This window comes from Homo sapiens, chromosome 19 (assembly GCF_000001405.40).
Source record: "Homo sapiens chromosome 19, GRCh38.p14 Primary Assembly".
Lineage (NCBI taxonomy): Eukaryota > Metazoa > Chordata > Mammalia > Primates > Hominidae > Homo > Homo sapiens.
The window spans coordinates 928,038-944,987 of record NC_000019.10 but is presented as its reverse complement, the minus strand read 5'-3'; the positions used below and the strand labels follow the sequence as shown (position 1 = coordinate 944,987).

The 16,950-nt window shown below is 60.2% G+C and overlaps 1 protein-coding gene across 5 annotated transcripts in view, besides 7 other annotated features; it reads right to left on the bottom strand.

Annotated features, from left to right (window-relative positions):
• Positions 1-16,950, bottom strand: part of ARID3A (AT-rich interaction domain 3A) — a 50,208-nt gene that overhangs the window by 30,952 nt on the left and 2,306 nt on the right. For 3 of the 5 annotated variants that reach the window (XM_017026445.2, XM_005259514.5, NM_005224.3), the window contains exons 2-3: positions 15,092-15,726; positions 12,246-12,570 (exon numbers count right to left, since the gene is read on the bottom strand). In XM_017026445.2, the coding sequence (XP_016881934.1) occupies positions 12,246-12,570; positions 15,092-15,459 (693 nt within the window). In that variant the 5' untranslated portion in view covers positions 15,460-15,726. Of the gene's footprint in view, positions 1-12,245; positions 12,571-15,091; positions 15,727-15,842; positions 15,975-16,950 lie in introns of those variants that run through there. The other 2 variants (XM_005259513.6, XM_047438380.1) reach the window with 1 other exon arrangement.
• Positions 3,812-4,091: a silencer, noted in NCBI's record as "silent region_9641". NCBI's record gives its function as "represses an Ori minimal core promoter by ATAC-STARR-seq in GM12878 lymphoblastoid cells {active_cell/tissue: GM12878}" and the evidence as "EXISTENCE:reporter gene assay evidence [ECO:0000049][PMID:35858748]".
• Positions 4,152-4,271: a silencer, noted in NCBI's record as "silent region_9640". NCBI's record gives its function as "represses an Ori minimal core promoter by ATAC-STARR-seq in GM12878 lymphoblastoid cells {active_cell/tissue: GM12878}" and the evidence as "EXISTENCE:reporter gene assay evidence [ECO:0000049][PMID:35858748]".
• Positions 9,906-10,436: an enhancer, noted in NCBI's record as "H3K27ac-H3K4me1 hESC enhancer chr19:934552-935082 (GRCh37/hg19 assembly coordinates)". NCBI's record gives its function as "activates a minimal SCP1, AML or CMV promoter by ChIP-STARR-seq in naive H9 embryonic stem cells {active_cell/tissue: H9 hESC(naive)}" and the evidence as "EXISTENCE:reporter gene assay evidence [ECO:0000049][PMID:30033119]".
• Positions 11,500-12,030: an enhancer, noted in NCBI's record as "H3K27ac-H3K4me1 hESC enhancer chr19:932958-933488 (GRCh37/hg19 assembly coordinates)". NCBI's record gives its function as "activates a minimal SCP1, AML or CMV promoter by ChIP-STARR-seq in primed H9 embryonic stem cells {active_cell/tissue: H9 hESC(primed)}" and the evidence as "EXISTENCE:reporter gene assay evidence [ECO:0000049][PMID:30033119]".
• Positions 11,749-11,798: a silencer, noted in NCBI's record as "silent region_9639". NCBI's record gives its function as "represses an Ori minimal core promoter by ATAC-STARR-seq in GM12878 lymphoblastoid cells {active_cell/tissue: GM12878}" and the evidence as "EXISTENCE:reporter gene assay evidence [ECO:0000049][PMID:35858748]".
• Positions 12,031-12,562: an enhancer, noted in NCBI's record as "H3K27ac-H3K4me1 hESC enhancer chr19:932426-932957 (GRCh37/hg19 assembly coordinates)". NCBI's record gives its function as "activates a minimal SCP1, AML or CMV promoter by ChIP-STARR-seq in primed H9 embryonic stem cells {active_cell/tissue: H9 hESC(primed)}" and the evidence as "EXISTENCE:reporter gene assay evidence [ECO:0000049][PMID:30033119]".
• Positions 12,329-12,388: a silencer, noted in NCBI's record as "silent region_9638". NCBI's record gives its function as "represses an Ori minimal core promoter by ATAC-STARR-seq in GM12878 lymphoblastoid cells {active_cell/tissue: GM12878}" and the evidence as "EXISTENCE:reporter gene assay evidence [ECO:0000049][PMID:35858748]".

Genomic DNA, 16,950 nt, shown 5'->3' with positions numbered 1-16,950 from the left:
CGTCAGGGAAGAATTACAGGGCGACGTGGTGGAAGGGACGGGGCGGGTGGCAGAGACAGGGAGAGGGGAGAGGAGAAAGAAGAGATGGAGACAGAGAGCGACCGCAGGACCCAGGGACATCCCGGCTCCCCTAAGAGCTCAGGAGTTCAGCCTGGGCAACGCAGCAAGACCCTGTCTCCAAAAAATAAAATGAAGTTAGCCGGGTGTGGTGGCGAGTGTCTGTGGTCCCAGCTACTCAGGAGGCTGACACGGGAAGATCACCGGAGCCCGGGAGGTCGAGGCTGCAGTGAGCTATGACTGCACCGCGGCACTCCAGCCTGGGTGACAGCACGAGACCCTGTCTCAAAATCCACCCCCGAAAACCAGACAATGAAGGAGGTTCAGCCAGGCTGGCAGTCGGGCCCTCCCAGGGCCGGGGTCGGGGGTCCTGGGTGGGGGACGCTCACTTGCCCGGAAGACCCACATTTGTAGCAGTGAGCGTGGTGCCCCTGAGATGGGTCAAGGTTTGGGGGCATCGACCGAAGCAACGGGGCTGAGGCCGTGGCAGACACAAACCATGGCCGTGTGGGACCGCCCCCACCGACACTCCTACCCAGACAGGCCTCCGTGCAGCCACACAGCCAGACACTCCCACGCAGACACACACACACACACACACACACCCCCTGGACGCGCCCCTGCAGCCAGACACACGGGGAGCAGACACGCCTGGGAGATAACGGCGAGACAGGCCCGCCCTCCACCGCGCTGCCGACGTCAGGACTCCAGTGCCGGCGGCAGGAGCTTCTGCTTCATGCACGGCTGTGTCCCCAGTACGCAGGCAGGCTGGCATACAGCAGGTGCCCCGTAAGTGCCCATGAGAGGGTCAGGCTGGCATACAGCAGGTACCCTGTAGGTGCCCATGAGAGGGTCGGGCTGGCATACAGATGCCCCGTAAGTGCCCATGAGAGGGTCAGGCTGGCATACAACAGGTGCCCCATAAGTGCCCATGAGAGGGTCGGGCTGGCATACAGCAGGTGCCCCGTAAGTGCCCATGAGAGGGTCGGGCTGGCATACAGCAGGTGCCCCGTAAGTGCCCATGAGAGGGTCGGGCTGGCATACAGCAGGTGCTCCGTAAGTGCCCATGAAAGGGTCGGGCTCAGACACATGTGTGCCCAGGGAGGCACAGCCTGGTGTTTCTGCCCTAACCTTGCCCAGGGCACGGTGCCACGTCAGCAGAGGTTTCTTCTCTCCACAAGTCTGACATCAGCGTGTCACTGGGGCTCCAGGGGAGGGTCCTTCCCTCCTCTCCCAGCTTCTGGGGGCTCCAGGTGTCCTTGGCTTGTGGCCACATCGCTCCAGCCTCTGCCTCTGTCTCCACACAGCTATCTCCCTACGTGTCCGTGTCCAAATTTCTCTTTTTTCTTTTCTTTTTTTTTTTGAGACAGAGTCTCGCTCTGTCACCCAGGCTGGAGTGTAGTGGTGCGATCTCAGCTCACTGCAGCCTCCGCCTCCTGGGTTCAAACAATTCTCCTGCCTCAGCTTCCCAAGTAGCTGGGATTACAGGCACCCGCCACCACGCCCGGCTAATTTTGTATTTTTAGTAGAGACGGGGTTTCACCATGTTGGTCAGGCTGGTCTCAAACTTCTGACCACAGGTGATCCGCCCTCCTCGGCCTCCCAAAGTGCTGGGATTACAGGCATGAGACACTGCGCGCCCGTCCTTTTTTTTTTTTTTTTCTTTTTTTGACACAGGGTCCTGCCCTGTCGCCCAGTCTGGAGTGCAGTCGTGCCACTATAGCTCACTACAGCCTCGACTTCCTGGGCTCAAGCAATCCTCCTGCCTTAGCCTCCAGAGTAGCTGGGACCACAGGCACGCACCACCACACCCAGCTAATTTGTGTAGAGACAGGGGTCTCACTCTGTTGCTGAGGCTGGTCTCAAGCTCCTGGGCTCAAGCGAAACTCCCGTCTTGGCCTTCCAAAGCGCGGGGATCACAGGTGTGACCTCCCCCTTAGAGGACAACCGACCGGCATGGGATTTGGGGCCACCGTACGCTGCAGGACCTCACTGAAACTAACATCTTCAGAGACCCTATTTCCAAATGCAGTCCCATCTTGAGGTTCTGGGTGGACGTGAGTTTTGGGCGATGCCATCCAATCCAGACGGGGCTCCTCCCGGAAGGCGGGTTCTTACTTGCTCTCACGTTCTCCGTCTCTGAGGGTGGCAGAGGAGGCTGCTGGGCATGGAATCTGGGCACTATGTCCAGCGTGGCTTCTGGACATGGGGCCTGGGTCCCCAGGGAGCTCACTTCCTGAGCCTGGCCAGAACCAGGGCCTGCGGGGCAGTGGGAGGGGCGGCCTCCACCTACTCCCTGCCCACCCACCTGTGCCCACGGACCCCCAGCCCAGCCCTGACCAAGGGGCAAGGCTGCATATCCCGGCGCTTGGGCCTTCAATGGCCAGATTAGTCAGCGTTTAACCCTGTGACCCCCAATTGTCCTCTGGCCATGTGCAGCCGGCAGAGCGGAGAAGAGGCGGTCCGCACCCGCCCCCCGTGTGCCACCCACCAGGTCGGCACCGCAGCGGCTCCCGGCCCGGCTCCCGGCGGCCAGTGGAGAGGACCTTGAGTCAAGCGTCCCTCGTGGGTGACGCCCCTGGGTGCCACCGCCGGGCAGCTGCGGGGGCCATGTCGCCACCGCCCCAGTCAGGATCGACAGTCAGGTAATTTGGGCCATCGAAGGGACCTGGACTTCAGCCCTTTGTGTCCAGCAGGGAAACTGAGGCAAGAGTGGACAGGGCTCTGCCGGCAGCTCCTCGGGGTCGGAGAGGGTGGGGGTGCACCCCCAGCGGCCCTGTCCATAGCTCGGTGGCCACTGGGGCTCCATCATCGGCTAGGCTGGCTCCAGAGCCCATGGCGGGCAGGGGAGGCGCTGATCTGTGCCCCGCGGCCGACGCGCGCTGCTGACCAAGACAGACAGCGCCACTCTCTAGCAGCCCCGGGGGTCTAATGGTTAATAGGCCCCACCGCGACCTCATGCTTCAGGGTCCAGCACGAGGCTCCCAAATGCTCAGGCACACAGGAAGGTCGTCTGTCACGGGCACACGTGCGCACACGTGGCGAGCCCAAGCAGGCACGCTTTTGGACACACACTCTCCAGCCTCGACGTGCACACACACATACGCTTGCAGCCACCCCTGACACACACACACACACACACACACACACAGCCACATCCACACAAAACACAAGAGACCAGTCCGGCACAGCAGCTCACGCCTGTAATCCCAGCACTTTCAGAGACCGAGGCGGGAGGATCACTTGAGCCCAGGAGTTTGAGACCAGGCTGGGCAACATGATGGCAAGACCCCATCTTTATAGTTAAAAAAATGCACACACAGGAGATCATCACCCCAACATAGACATTCACAAAGGACGTCAGGGCAGACACACGTCTGGACACACTCACCAACAGGTCCACGCAAAACAGGGACGTGGGAAGTTTGCCACGTCACTCGGCACACAGAGACCTAAACGAACACCGTGGTGCTGGCTGGGGACACGCAGGCGGGCGCGTGAGGTGCCGCTGGCTGGGTGCACACAGCCCCACACACGAGACCCACAGAATCCAGCAGGTGCCCGGTGGGCAGAGGCCTTGGAGGGTCCGAAGATGCTGTGTCTGGAGCAAGATTCCCTCCCAGGCAGGGTCCCACGAGACAGGACCCACGAGCCGCCCGGCCACAGCCCCAGCGTGCACACTCGCACGCACGCCACGGCGGCTCACCACGCCCATTCCCCCGCCCAGGCACCACGCGGGGACACTCTCTGCCTGCGGGCACCGCTCCCTCGGGCTGCCGCGTGTGTTATTAGAAAGCATGGGGCGGGGCCGGCGCTTGGCAGCAGCCACCAGGGTGGGACGCCGGCGGTGGGCGTGGGGCCAGGCCGCGGCGGCGGTGACCCCGCGGCGGTGACCCGACGGCCAGGCGGTGGCGCAGGGGCCAGATAAGGCTCTTCCGGCTGAGTCAGCGACGCTCCTGGCACGGGCACGGGCCGGGGCACAGTGCCAGGGGCTGGCGGGCACCCACCCACCCCTCGCCCGCCAGGGCCCAGCTGGCCCGGCGCCAGCAGCCACAGTGGCTTTGATGAGGCGGGCGCTGCCCCGGTGGGGAGGACCAGGTGCCCAGGGGGCTTCCCGACAGCCCTCCCGGCGGCTCACGTGCAGCCGGGGCTCCCGGAGGCCCAGGAAGACGCCGGCACCAGGGCTGGCGGCCGAGGGCCTGGCTCGGGGCTCTCTTGACAAACACACTCTGTCTCAAACACAGCCGCTGCCTCTGTGTGCTCGGAACCTGCTGCCTGACCTCTGGGCAAAGGCCCCAGCTGCACCATCTGCCTAGAGCACCCGCCTGTGCTGGGAAAATTCTCCTCCTTCTCCTTCTTCTCAGGCCCCAGAAGCCCAGCTGCAGTGTTGGCCTCTTCTACTCCTGCCTGGACCAAGGGTGCCTCCGTTCTGTCTCCAAAACAGGCTCCAGAAGGGTCCTCCCAGCCTCCTTCTCCCAGCTCCAAACCCTGCCAAGTGCCCTCAAGCTCTGCCCACCCCTCCTGCTACACCGAGAGCTTGACTGACCCGCGGCCCAGGACGGCTGTAAATGCGGCCCAGTGCAAACGCGTACATTTCTTAGCGCACGATGAGAGTTTTTTTGCAATTTTTTTTGGCTCATCAGGTATCATTAGTGTTACTGTATTTTACATGTGGTCCAAGACAATTCTTCTTCTTCCAATGTAGCCCAGGGAAGCCAAAAAGTTGGCCACCCTGGCCCCACACATTACGCTCCAGTCACAGTGATCCCAGAGGCAGGCCCTGCCCTGCTGTGGCTCGCTAACAAACTCTTACACATCCTGCAAAGCCCCAGCCCCAATGCCCCTTCCTCTTGGCAGCCTCCCCCTCAATCCCCTCTAGCCCAGCCCTGACCCCTCGAGGGATGTGGGGAAGCCCAGCAGCGCCCCTAAGCCTCAGTCTGAAATGGACGTGGCGAGGCCACGGCAGACCCCAGTGCTACCTTCACATCCAGCTCTGTCTCCCACCAGTCTGGGGGTCTCCGGGGCACGACGAAGAAAACGTGTTGCCGATTCTCCCAGAGCCCTGGCAATTCCAGCTCCCCACCTCCTCCCCACACTGCTCCAAGCAACTCTCACGCCCCGAAGATGTTCGTTACAGTATTGCTTACAACAGGGAAATGACCGAGGGAAGTGTGTGGACGTGGGGGTGTCCAGCGCCACGAGGGGAACGTCCATACAGCTGAAAAGAACCAGGTGGCTCGGAACATCCCAATTACGACGCGAACGCACCCAAGATAAACAGCTCCTCGAAGGCAGCGGCGGGAGGAACCTCCCGACCTGCCCGGAAGATCACACGTTAGATACCTCCCAGGTCACATTCCTGGGTGTGAGTGGGCAGAGAAAGGCCTGGAGAACATGCGGCTCATGCCCTAGAGGTCAAGGGAGGGACTCGGGGCTCCCTGTAAACGTTCCATTTTCTTCCTCTCTGCAAGAAGAGTGTCAAGTGTTACTTCTGGAACCAAAAGTGTATCGAGAGGCCGGGCGCGGTGGCTCAGGCCTGTCATCCCAGCACTCTGGGAGGCCGAGGCGGGCAGATCACGAGGTCAGGAATACGAGACCACCCTGGGCAACATGGTGAAACCCCGTCTCTACTAAAAATACAAAAATAAGCTGGGTGTGGTGGTGGGCGCCTGTAGTCCCAGCTACTCTGGAGGCTGAGGCAGGAGAATTGCTTGAACCCGAGAGGCGGAGGTTGCAGTGAGCCGAGATGGCGCCACTGCATTCCAGGCTGGTGACAGAGCAAGACTCCGTCTAAAATAATAATAATAAATAAATAAATAAATAAATAAATAAATAGGCCAGGTGTGGTGGCACGCGCCTGTAGTCACAGCTATTTGGGAGGCTGAGGCAGGAGAATGACTTGAACCCAGTAAGCAGAGGTTGCAGTGAGCTGAGATTGCACCATTGCACTGCAGCCTGGGTGACAAAACAAGACTCCGTCTCAAAAAAAAAAAAAAAAAAGAGAGATAAAATAATGTATCTATGTGTATTTTCCACAATTAAAAAAAACAAATGAGCTGAAAAGACCAAAAAAAGACCAAAAACCGGATGCCCGTTTCTTGCTGGGGTCTCGCTTCACTCCCGAGAGCTGCCTGGCAGGCACCGTGGTGAGGACCCAGCGGTCTCTGGGGCTGGGCCCAGCGAGGTGTGTCTGGCCTTGAGCCTGAGAGGCTGCTGGTGGCCGTCCCTGCCCCAGTGCCCACACACGCCCAGCTGTCAGGCCCGGAGGCCTGGATATGAGGACAGCACTGAGGTCTGGCCTGGTCTAACCACTTTCATTCCAGACAAAAAGAAAAACGGAGGGGCAGCTGAGCTTCCCCAAAACCGTCCCACCAGCAGCTCCCTGGGCCATCCATCCACACACCGCTGGGTCCTCTCTGGCAGGTGCATCCCGGGGGTCAAATTCCAGCTCTGACACGTCCCCCGGGCGACTGTGCACAAGTCATGTGATCACCCCATGCCTCAGTTTCTCGTCTGCACAACAGGTTCAACGGCAGCTCCTTGGGATCCAGTGAGGATCTGGGAGACGACCCATCTAAAACACTCAGTCACTTTCTTCACGCAGTGAAGCAACAGATACCGGCTAGTGCCGTCATTCCTACACCTCTGAGCTCATCTGCAAGTTACATGGGCAGCAAGCTTTACTTTGGAAAGCAGAGGGAGAGATCCTGACACTGAATGAAAATCAGAACCACAGTGAGAAACCACGCCACCCCCACAAGGAGGCTAGGATCAAAAGTCGACAACAGGCCGGGCGCGGTGGCTCACGTCTGTGATCCCAGCACTCTGGGACGCTGAGGTGTGAGGATCACCTGAGGTTGGGAGTTCAAGACCACCCTGCCCAACACGGTGAAACCCCGTCTCTACTAAAAATACAAAAAATTAGCCGGGCGCAGTGGCTCACACCTGTAATCTCAGCACTTTGGGAGGCCGAGGCGGGCGGATCACGAGGTCAAGAGATCGAGACCATCCTGGCTAACACGGTGAAACCCCATCTCTACTAAAAAATACAAAAAAATTAGCTGGGCGTGGTGGCAGGTGCCTGTAGTCCCAGCTACTCGGGAGGCTGAGGCAGGAGAATGGCGTGAACCCGGGAGGTGGAGGTTGCAGTGAGCCGAGATCGCCCCATTGCACTCCAGCCTGGGTGACAGAGCAAGACTCTGTCTCAAAAAAAAAAAAAAAAAAAAAAAAAGTCGACAATAACAAGTGGTGAGGATGTAGAGGAACTGGAACCCACATCTGTGGCTGGTGGGAAGGTAACGTGGGCAGCTGCTTGCTAAACAGTCTAGCAGTTCCTCTGATGGGTGAATATGGAGTCACCAGCAGACCCAGCAATTCTCCCAGATACACACCCAAAAGTAATACAAACGTACGCCCACATAAAAACGTGTACAGCACTACAAACCCAAAAGGCAGAAACAGGTCGAGTGGTCACCAACAGCGGAACGGGCAAACACAATACGGCACATCCATCCAGCGGAGTATGACTCAGCCGTGAAAAGGAAGGAGACTCCGACCCAGGCCACGGTGCTGATGCACCTGGAGGACGTCACGCTCAGTGAGATACGCCAGACACAAAAGGCCACGCAGTGTGTGATCCCATTTCTTTTCTTTGTTCTTGTTTTTCTGAGATGGAGTCTCCCTCTGTTGCCCAGGCTGGAGTGCAGTGGCGCGATCTCGGCTCACGGCAATCTCCGCCTCCCGGGTTCAAGCGGTTCTGTCTCAACCTCCCGAGTGCTGGGATTATAGGTGCCCGCCACCACACCCAGCTAATTTTTGTATTTTTAGTAAAGACAGGGTTTTGCTGTGTTGGCCAGGCTGGTCTCAAACTCCTGACCTCAGGTGCTCTGCCCACCTCAGCCTCCCAAAGTACAGGGATTACAGGCGTGAAGCACTGCACCCAGCTATGTGATCCCATTTCTATAAAATGTCCAGAACAGGCCAATCCACAGAGGCAGGAGGGGATGTGTGGTTGCCAGGGGCTGGGGCGTGCTGGTAGAATAGGGGGATAATAGTTAAAGGGTCAGGGTTTATTTTATTTTATTTATTTAGAGACAGAATCTCTCTCTGCCACACAGGCTGGAGTGCAGTGGCATGATCTCGGCTCACTGTAACCTCTGCTTCTGAGTTCAAGTGATTCCCCTGCCTCAGCCTCCCAAGTAGCTGGGACTACAGGCGCGTGCTGCCACGCCCGGCTAATTTTTTATATTTTTAGTAGAGACAGGGTTTCACCGTGTTAGCCAGGATGGTCTCGATCTCCTGACCTCGTGATCCGCCTGCCCCGGCCTCCCAAAGTGCTGGGATTGCAGACGTGAGCCACTGCACCCACCCTATCCTTCTTATTTTTTCGAGACAGGGTCTCGCTCTGTCACCAAGCTGGAGTGTGGTGGCGCGATCACGGCTCACTGCAGCCTTGTCCTCCTGGGCTCAAGGGATCCTCCCACCTCAGGGTCCCAAGTAGCTGGGACTACAGGTGTGCGCCACCACACTCAGCTAATTTTTGTAGAGATGGGGTCTTGCTATACCGCCCAGGCTGGTGTAGAACTCCTGGGCTCAGGCTATCTGCCCATCTCGGCCTCCCACAGTGCCGGGATCACAGGTGTGAGCCACTGTGCCTGGCCCCAATCGTACAATTAAAACAGTGAATTGTATGGCATATGAAGTATAGCCCAATAAAGCTGTTTTTTAAGATTCATCTCAAATTCATTCAACACTTATTAGAATTGTTGAGACTAAAGGTTCAAATCCTTAAGCAGCTGAAGATCTGTGATTAACCGCCTGTGCGTGTAAAATCCCATCACGGGCCGGGCGCGGTGGCTCACGCCTTTAATCCCAGCGCTTTGGGAGGCCGAGGCAGGCGGATCACAAGGTCAGGAGATCGAGACCATCCTGGCTAACACGGTGAAACCTTGTCTCTACTAAAAATACAAAAAATTAGCCGGGCGCGGTGGCGGATGCCTGTAGTCCCAGCTACTCGGGAGGCTGAGGCAGGAGAATGGCGTGAACCCGGGAGGTAGAGCTTGCAGTGAGCCGCGATCGCGCCACTGTACTCCAGCCTGGGCGACAGAGCGAGACTCCGTCTCAAAAAATAAATAAACAAATATATAAATAAAATCCTACCATGGTGGGGTGCGGTGGCTCACGCCTGTAATCCCAGCACTTTGGGAGGCCAAGGAGGGCAGATCACCTGAGCCCAGGAGTTCTAGACCAGCCTGGGCAACATAGCAAGACCCCGTCTCTACAAAAATTAGCTGAGTTTGGTGGCGCCCGTCTGTACTCGCAGCTACTCAGGAGGCTGAGGCAGAAGGATCGCTTGAACCCAGGAGATCGAGGCTGCAGTGAGTTAGGACAGCACCACTACACTCCAGCCTACCCGACAGAGTAAGACCCTGCCTCAAAAATAATAATAATCCAATAAAATCCTACCGTGGCCGCTTTCTAGAAGCTGGGCCTGCTGTGTGGGTGACAGGAGGCCACCAGGAGGCTACGTCAGACATCAGGAGGCTGAGATCCTAATCACTGCCCGACACGTGCTGGCCTCCAAAACTGCACGTCCCCAGGCCCCAGGCAGCAAGGTTCCAGGTGTCCAAGGAAAGAACCCGTGGCCCTGAGCCTGCTGCGCCCGGCCCCCCGCCGCGGCCTGGCCACCCACCAGACCTGCAGCCGACAGCAGAATTTCACAGCTGTCGAGGATTTGCAGGCGGAAGTTAGCCCCGAGCCCTGCCAGGACCTGGGAGGAAGAGGCAGAGACGGTGCCAAGCGGCCGGCCAGCGGGCCAGGCCTGCCACGTGCCAGGAAGGGGGTGGGGCAGGCGCCAGAGTCAACAGGGGCCCCAGTAGGGGCCGGGCGGGAGGTAACACTGACTGGGCTGGTTGGGCCCAGGCCACTGTTGACACTGGGAACACAGGTGTCTGGCCAGCTGGGCGGGCGGCGGCATCGGCGGCTGGACCTGCCACGAACAGCCCAGGATAAGATCCCAGGACTGGCTGGGCACCGTGGCTCAGGCCTGTAATCCCAGCACTTTGGGAAGCTGAGTGAGGCAGATCACTTGAGCCCAGGAGTTTGAGACCAACCTGGGCAACACCGTGAAAGCCCTTCTCTAGAGAAAAAAAAGTCACAGGACTGCAGGGCGGGGGCCTCCCCCCACCCCCGCTGCCCACGACCATCCCTAGGCCCTCATCTTCTCGGAGTTCCAATCCCGTCTCCCGCAAGACCCAGAGGCGGCACCCGGTCCCTACACACAAGCCGAGCTTTAGTCCACCTCAGGGCCTCTGCACTGCCCGGTACACCCAGGGGGCAGGTGCGGGGCGGCAGGATCTCCAGGAATACCTGAGGCTGCCGGTGACACAGTGACCCCCCTCCCTGCACTGGCCTCAGTTTCCCCATCTCGGCTTCCCGCTGCAGAAAAACCCCACATGGCACCTACAACCCTGACCCGCGGTGTCGCCCAGACAAGGTAGACAGTGGCTTCTGCCTCCTGCCTTCGCTCAGGACATGCTGCGGGCTGTGGGGTCAGGGCGCCTGGCCCCTCATCCCTGCCTGGTCTGGGCCAGTCACCCCAAAACTCCCCCATCGGCTTTGGGCCTTGGAGGCCGGGGCTGTCTGGGCGGGGCGTGTGTCCAGGGTCAGGGGGTCCCATTCACCTCTGACCCCCGAAGGACCGACTGAATGGGGGGCCTTGACCCTCCCTCTCGGCTTGGCTATAACCCTGCGGGGATGGAGGTCTCCGTCCGGCTCCTGCCCGCCCCTCCAGCCCAGGGCTCCCTGCGGGCTGAGTCCCGGGCAGATGGCGAATATTGGGTGAATGTTAAATTAATTGGTGAATTAAATTAATGAAATTAAAGAGAATCCACTCTCAGCATGCTCATCCGTATCATCTTAAACCCAGAAAAGATCACAAGACCCCTCCTCCCAACACTGAGCCTCTGTTTTCTCACTGGCAGAATGGGACGCGCGGCAGTGTGGCCCGTGGAGCATCCCCTTCTGCAGGAGTGGGAAACTGAGTCACAGAGCAGGGTGGAATCAGCGAGACGCCCCCCCCCCCCACCGAGTCCCCGCCGCTGCCCTGGCCATTCTCCCACACCGTGTCCGGCTTTCAGCTCTTTACTATTTGTGAGTTTCCAGGCAGCCCAACCTTAAGTCTCTTGAGGGCTGCTGGGGTTAGGGCCGCCCCTTAAGCTACCCGGCACCCCTGGAGTCAGGAGCCCCGGGGAGGCCCCCCTGGGTGTCTGTGCCTTGGCCCCTCCTAGGAGGCTCCTCAGAGCGGATTCTGGAAGCCCAGGGCCGAAGGGGCTGCCCCGAGGCAGGCATGTCCCAGCGTGTCCATCATCCACCTCCCTGCGGGAGCCCAGACCAGCTCCAGCCCCGGGCGAGGAGGTGGCTCCCCCCAGCCGCGCCCAGAGGTCGAGGCAGAGCCCAGCTGGACGAGGGCTGGAATGTGAGCCTGGCCACCATCTGGTTTCCATCTGCCCGGCCCAGCACGGCCCAACTTCAAAGCATCCCCCGCCCGGCCACTTCCTCTGGCCTGGCCGCCTGCGGGGAAAGGCTGGGGCGGCCCCTACTTCCTCCTTCAGCCTGGGGTCCCTGAGACCCCCTGCCGGCCCCAGCCTTAACCGCCCACTCGGAGCCTCACAGGCCCTGGCTCCTGCGTCTCCTGCAGCCACACCTGAGCCACCCCCACATCCCCTCGGCTGCCAGCTGCAGCCCGCAACCCCCCACGGCTCTCCACAGATGCCAGGGGACAGAGGAGGCCAAGTCACCACGTCACCAAGGCCCCGGCCTCTCTGCCCGCATCGCCCGCAGGCCTGGTTCCTCCAACCCAAGCCCAGCTCGGGCCGGCGCCAGCCTCTCCCTCCCAGGCCCACCTTTCCATCTCTGCCCCATCACCTCCGATATGGGGGCCGTGGAGCCCCCCAGGTTTCTCCTACCCGGCCGGGTGCTCCTCACACATCCCACATCAGAGCAATGAACAGCCAGCTGGTCGAGCCCACGCCCAGGAGGGAAGCACAGGAAGCACAGCTACCGCAGGAACCCCCAGCTCTCAACTCGACGCCCGGCTCAGCACACACCCCGTGCAACGTGGGCCTTCAAAGGGCCCCACTGGCCCAGGAGCAGGTGCCTCAGCCGCCACGCGGGACGCGCCCACTCACCTGCTTAAACTGCTCCTCGTAAGTCCAGTCGCCGTGGTCAGGCGGCTGCAGCTGCGGGGCTACGTGGGCGGCCCCTCCGGGGTGGGCAGGGCCAGGCCCCGGCCGCTCCTGGCCCCCCAGCACCCTGGGAACGCCATCGCCGCGGAAGGCCTGGGGTGGCTGGGCCTTTCGGGGGAACAGTGCCGTGGTGCCCAAGCTGGCAGGGCCTGGGGGGCCCAGCCCCTCCTCGTCCTCCTCCTCCTCCTCATCCTCGTAATCCTCCTCCTCCTCCTCCTCATCCTCCCCGAGGTCTTCCTCCATCTCCTCCTCCTCCCATTTGGGCTTCCTGGGGTGAGCAGAGGGCAGGAGTCAGGGGAGAAGGTGCTGGCTCGTCCCAGCCCAAGGAAAGACCCACTCCCCGCCCAGCCTCAGTTTCCCTCTCTGGAAATAGGAAGAGCCGGCCGCCGCCAGCTCAGACTGCAGAGAGCGCTCATGAGCACAGCGTGGGGCACCCGTGACGCCCACTTTGTTTCCAATTAGCCCAGAACAGCACAAGCCGTCCCTACAGCGTGAATTTTGGGGCCTTGAAAAGCATCACGCAGGCAGCCACGGTGGCGCACACCTATAATCCCGGCAGCACTCTGGGAGGCCAAGGCGGGAGGATCCCTTGAGCCCAGGAGATGGAGGCTGTAGTGAGCTATGATGGCACCACTGCACTCCAGCCTGGGCCACAGAGCAAGACTCTCTTGGGAAAAAAAAAAAGGGAATCATTACGGCAGGCTGGTTCCTGCATCCTGCACCATGCATGCTGTCCCAGCTCCACCTCCCCTTCCCTCCACAGGGAGAATTCTCCCACCGCCATCTGAAATCCGCCCCACCCTCGCCACTGCCCCTCCACGGCACCCTCCTAGACTTTCTTGGCAGCCGTTTTTTTTTTTTTGTCTTTTTTTTGAGAGGGAGTCTCGCTCTGTCGTCCAGGCTGGAGTGCAACGGCGCAATCTCGGCTCACTGCAAGCTCCGCCTCCCGGGTTCATGCCATTCTCCTGCCTCAGCCTCCCAAGTAGCTGGGACTACAGGCGCCCGCCACCACGCCTGGCTAATTTTTTTGTATTTTTAGTGGAGACGGGGTTTCACCGTGTGAGCCAGGATGGTCTCGATCTCCTGACCTCGTGATCCGCCCACCTCGGCCTCCCAAAGTGCTGGGATTACAGGCGTGAGCCACCACGCCCAGCCATTGGCAGCTGTTTGTACAACCTGATATCACCTGCTTCTTTGCTGCTAGGTTTTGTTTGGTTGTTTTTTTTTTTTTTTTGAGACACAGTCTCACTTTGTTGCCCAGGCTGGAGTGCAAAGGCACGATCTCGGCTCACTGCAACCTCTGCCTCCCAGGTTCAAGCGATTCTCCTCCTCAGCCTCCTGAGTAGCTGGGATTACAGGCATGAGCCACTGCACCCGGCCAGTTTTGTTTTTTGAGACAGGGTCTTCTCTGTTGCCCAGGCTGGAGTGCAGTGGTGTGATCACAGCTCAGTGCAGTCTTGACCTCCTGAGCTCAAGCAGTCCTTCCGCCTCGGCCTCTCGAGTAGCTGGGACCACAGATGCATGCCACAACACCCGACTAATTTTTGTACTTTTTGTAGAAATGGGGCCTCACTAGGTTGCCCAGGCTGGTCTTGAACTCCTGGGCTCAAGCAATCCTCCCACCTCGGCCTCCCAAAGTGCTGGGATTACAGGCGTGAGCCACTGCGCCCAGCATCTTTGCTTGCTCAGGTCCTCCCAGGAAGATGCGGGTTCCTGGAGGCCAGGATCCCACAGCAAGTGAGCCCTCAGCCAGCCCTGGGGGGACCCACACGCTATGCAGGTCCAGCCGGCTGCAGATTTTATCTGCCCCTGCCGCTGAATCTGCTGTAGCCATCGGTGGCTAGGTTGCTTTAAGTTAACTAAGATGAAACAAAGTTGGCCGGGTGTGGTGGCTCACGCCTGTAATCCCAGCACTTTGGGAGGCCAAGGCAGGCAGATCATGAGGTCAGGAGATCGAGACCATCTTGGCTAACATGGTGAAACCCCGTCTCTACTAAAAATACAAAAAGTTAGCCAGGCGTGGTGGCGGGCGCCTGTAGTCCCAACTACTCGGGAGGCTGAGGCAGGAGAATGGTGTGAACCCGGGAGGAGGAGGTTGCAGTGAGCTGAGATCACGCCACTGCACTCCAGCCTGGGCGAAAAGAGCAAGACTCTGTCTAAAAAAAAAAAAAAAACCCACATTCTTGGCTCACTGCAATCTTCACCTCCCAGGTTCAAGCCATTCTCCTGCCTCAGCCTCCCGAGTAGCTGGGTTTACAGGCTTCTGCCACCACGCCTGGCTAATTTTTGTATTTTTAGTAGAGATGGGGTTTCGCCATGTTGGCCGGGCTGGTCTTGAGCTCCTGACCTCAGGTGATCCACCCACCTCGACCTCCCAAAGTGCTGGGATTACGGGCGTAAGCCACAGCACCCGGCTAAAAAAACCATTTTTCTTTTGAGACTGGGTCTATCTCTGTCATCCAGGCTGGAGTGCAGTGGCACAATCACAACTCAACTTCTGTTCTCAAGGGATCCTCCTGCCTCAGCCTCCCCAGTAGCTGGGACCACAGGTGCACCACCATGCCTGGCTAATTTTTTAATTTTTTGCGGAGATGGGGTCTTGCTATGTTGCCCAGGCTGGTCTCCAACCCCTGGGCCCACGTGATCCTCCCACGTCGGCCTCTCAAACTGCTGGAATTACAGGAAGGAGATCCCGCGACCTGACCCTTACTCCCATTCTGCAGATGAGCAGAGTGACACTCAGAGCCAGTAACAGCCCCCAGAAGGCCCTGCCCCAGACCCCAACTCACATGTCCTCGTCGGAGGCCATGTCCTCAAAGTGCTCCTCTCCTGGCCCTTCTCTGCCTCGCCCGGGTGAGCCCGGTGTCCCCTCCCGGGCCGCGTCCTCCTCCTCCGAGCCTGGGGGCCCATCCTCAGAGCCGCCGGGGCTGGCTGGGTGTCCCAGGCCCGCAGCTGCAGCCCGCATGGCTGCCAGTGCGGCCATCTGAGCCCGCTGCATCCGGGCACTCTCGGGCTCTCTGTCCTCGTCGGGGGCAGCCCGGGCCCGGCCGGGGGGTGCAGCAGGGGGATCGGGGGGCAGCTGCTGCCGGGCCTCCAGCTCCTGGCGCGCCCGCTGCTGCCGCTGCAACAGCGTCTCCATCACGGCCTGTAGTTTCATGGCCCTGCGGCCCGGGCCACCACCACCACCACCACCACCACCACCACGGGCGCTAGGGGTGGGCGGCGGGGGCGGCCCCTGCGGGGAGGGGGCCCGGCCGCACTGCAGCGTGGGGGCCGCGGGGGAGCCGGGGCAGTGCAGGGTGGCAGGGGGCGGGGGCGGGGGCCGCCGGGCTCAAGCTGAAGGCTGATGGGGCATGCCTCTTCCTCACGCTGGGCTCCAGGGGACAGAGGCTGGCATCCGGCTCATTCACGCATTTGCAGAAACCTGAGGGGGAAAAAAGGCACAGTCAGAGCAGGCCTGAGCTCCTCAAGCCCCCTCCTTCCTTCCCCATGAAGGCCCTGGGGATCAGCTCTCATGTCCATCTCATGCAGGATGCAGACCTGGAGGCCTTCTTGGAGGCAGAGGCGCAGGCTCTTCGCATACAGCCTACTGTGGGCCTGGGTAGCAAGGTCGCCCCGCACGGGGCCACAGAGAAACACGCTGTGGCCAGACTGTCTGCCCCAGGAGATCTTGGATTATTGCTTCACAAGCAGGGTGGGGGAATGGGCGTTCCTGGCCTGTGATTGGCCAGCGGGCTCCGGGCCCCAGTCAGGTGGGTTCTAAGTTCCAGTCGCTGCCTGAGTCCCTGTTGGAGCGGCCCAGCCTGGCCTCCAGGTATCTAGGTATCCTCCCATCTCAGGCCAGACTGGAGATTGAGCGCCTGTTGTATACGGGCCCTGGGCTAACCCTCCCCCCATCACACAACTCAACAGCAACGCCCAAGCCACAACTTCTCTGGACCTCAGGTTCCCTACCTGCAAAACAGTGTGGGTAACAGTACCCCCCCAACCCATGGCACTCAAGGAGGGATGAATCGAGTTCAGGAGGTTAAGGTGGGCACCAACAGGTGTCAGAGAAGGGGGCACCAGGGCGGTCCCATTTCATGGTTGAGGACAACTGAGGCTCAGGGATCCTCTGCTTGGAGACATGGCGGTGGGATTTGAACCCAGGTCTGGGTGACCACAGAGCCTCCCACGCAGACCCCACAATCTCTGCAGGGCAACAGGGGTCTGGAGTTTCCCGGTCCTCTGGGATCCCGAGTGGGCCAGATGTCTCGGACGGCAACACACTCACCCAGCCTAGAGTGCCTTCCACCCAGGGCCAGTCCTAATGGCCTGGGTGAAGAACAGAGACTCCTGGGGCCTGGGTCCCACCCGAGCCACCCCCTAGCCCAGGCCACACCTCCACCCGCCCAGGCCGCCAATAAAACAGGCCGGGCAGAACCCAACAGGCCTGGAGTGACACCCCAGAGGGAAGGCACATCATGGGGACAGCGGAGGGGGCAAAGCTCCACCCTCCCGAGAGGCAGCTGGGCCCAGGAGGCCACCCCCAACCCTTACCCTGGCAAAGGAGCCCCCAAGACTCATACACAGCTCCTGGGCAGACAAGGCCTGGAGAGACGAGGAGGCAGGGACCCCTGGGACTCAGATCCCTCCTGTGACCCGACCC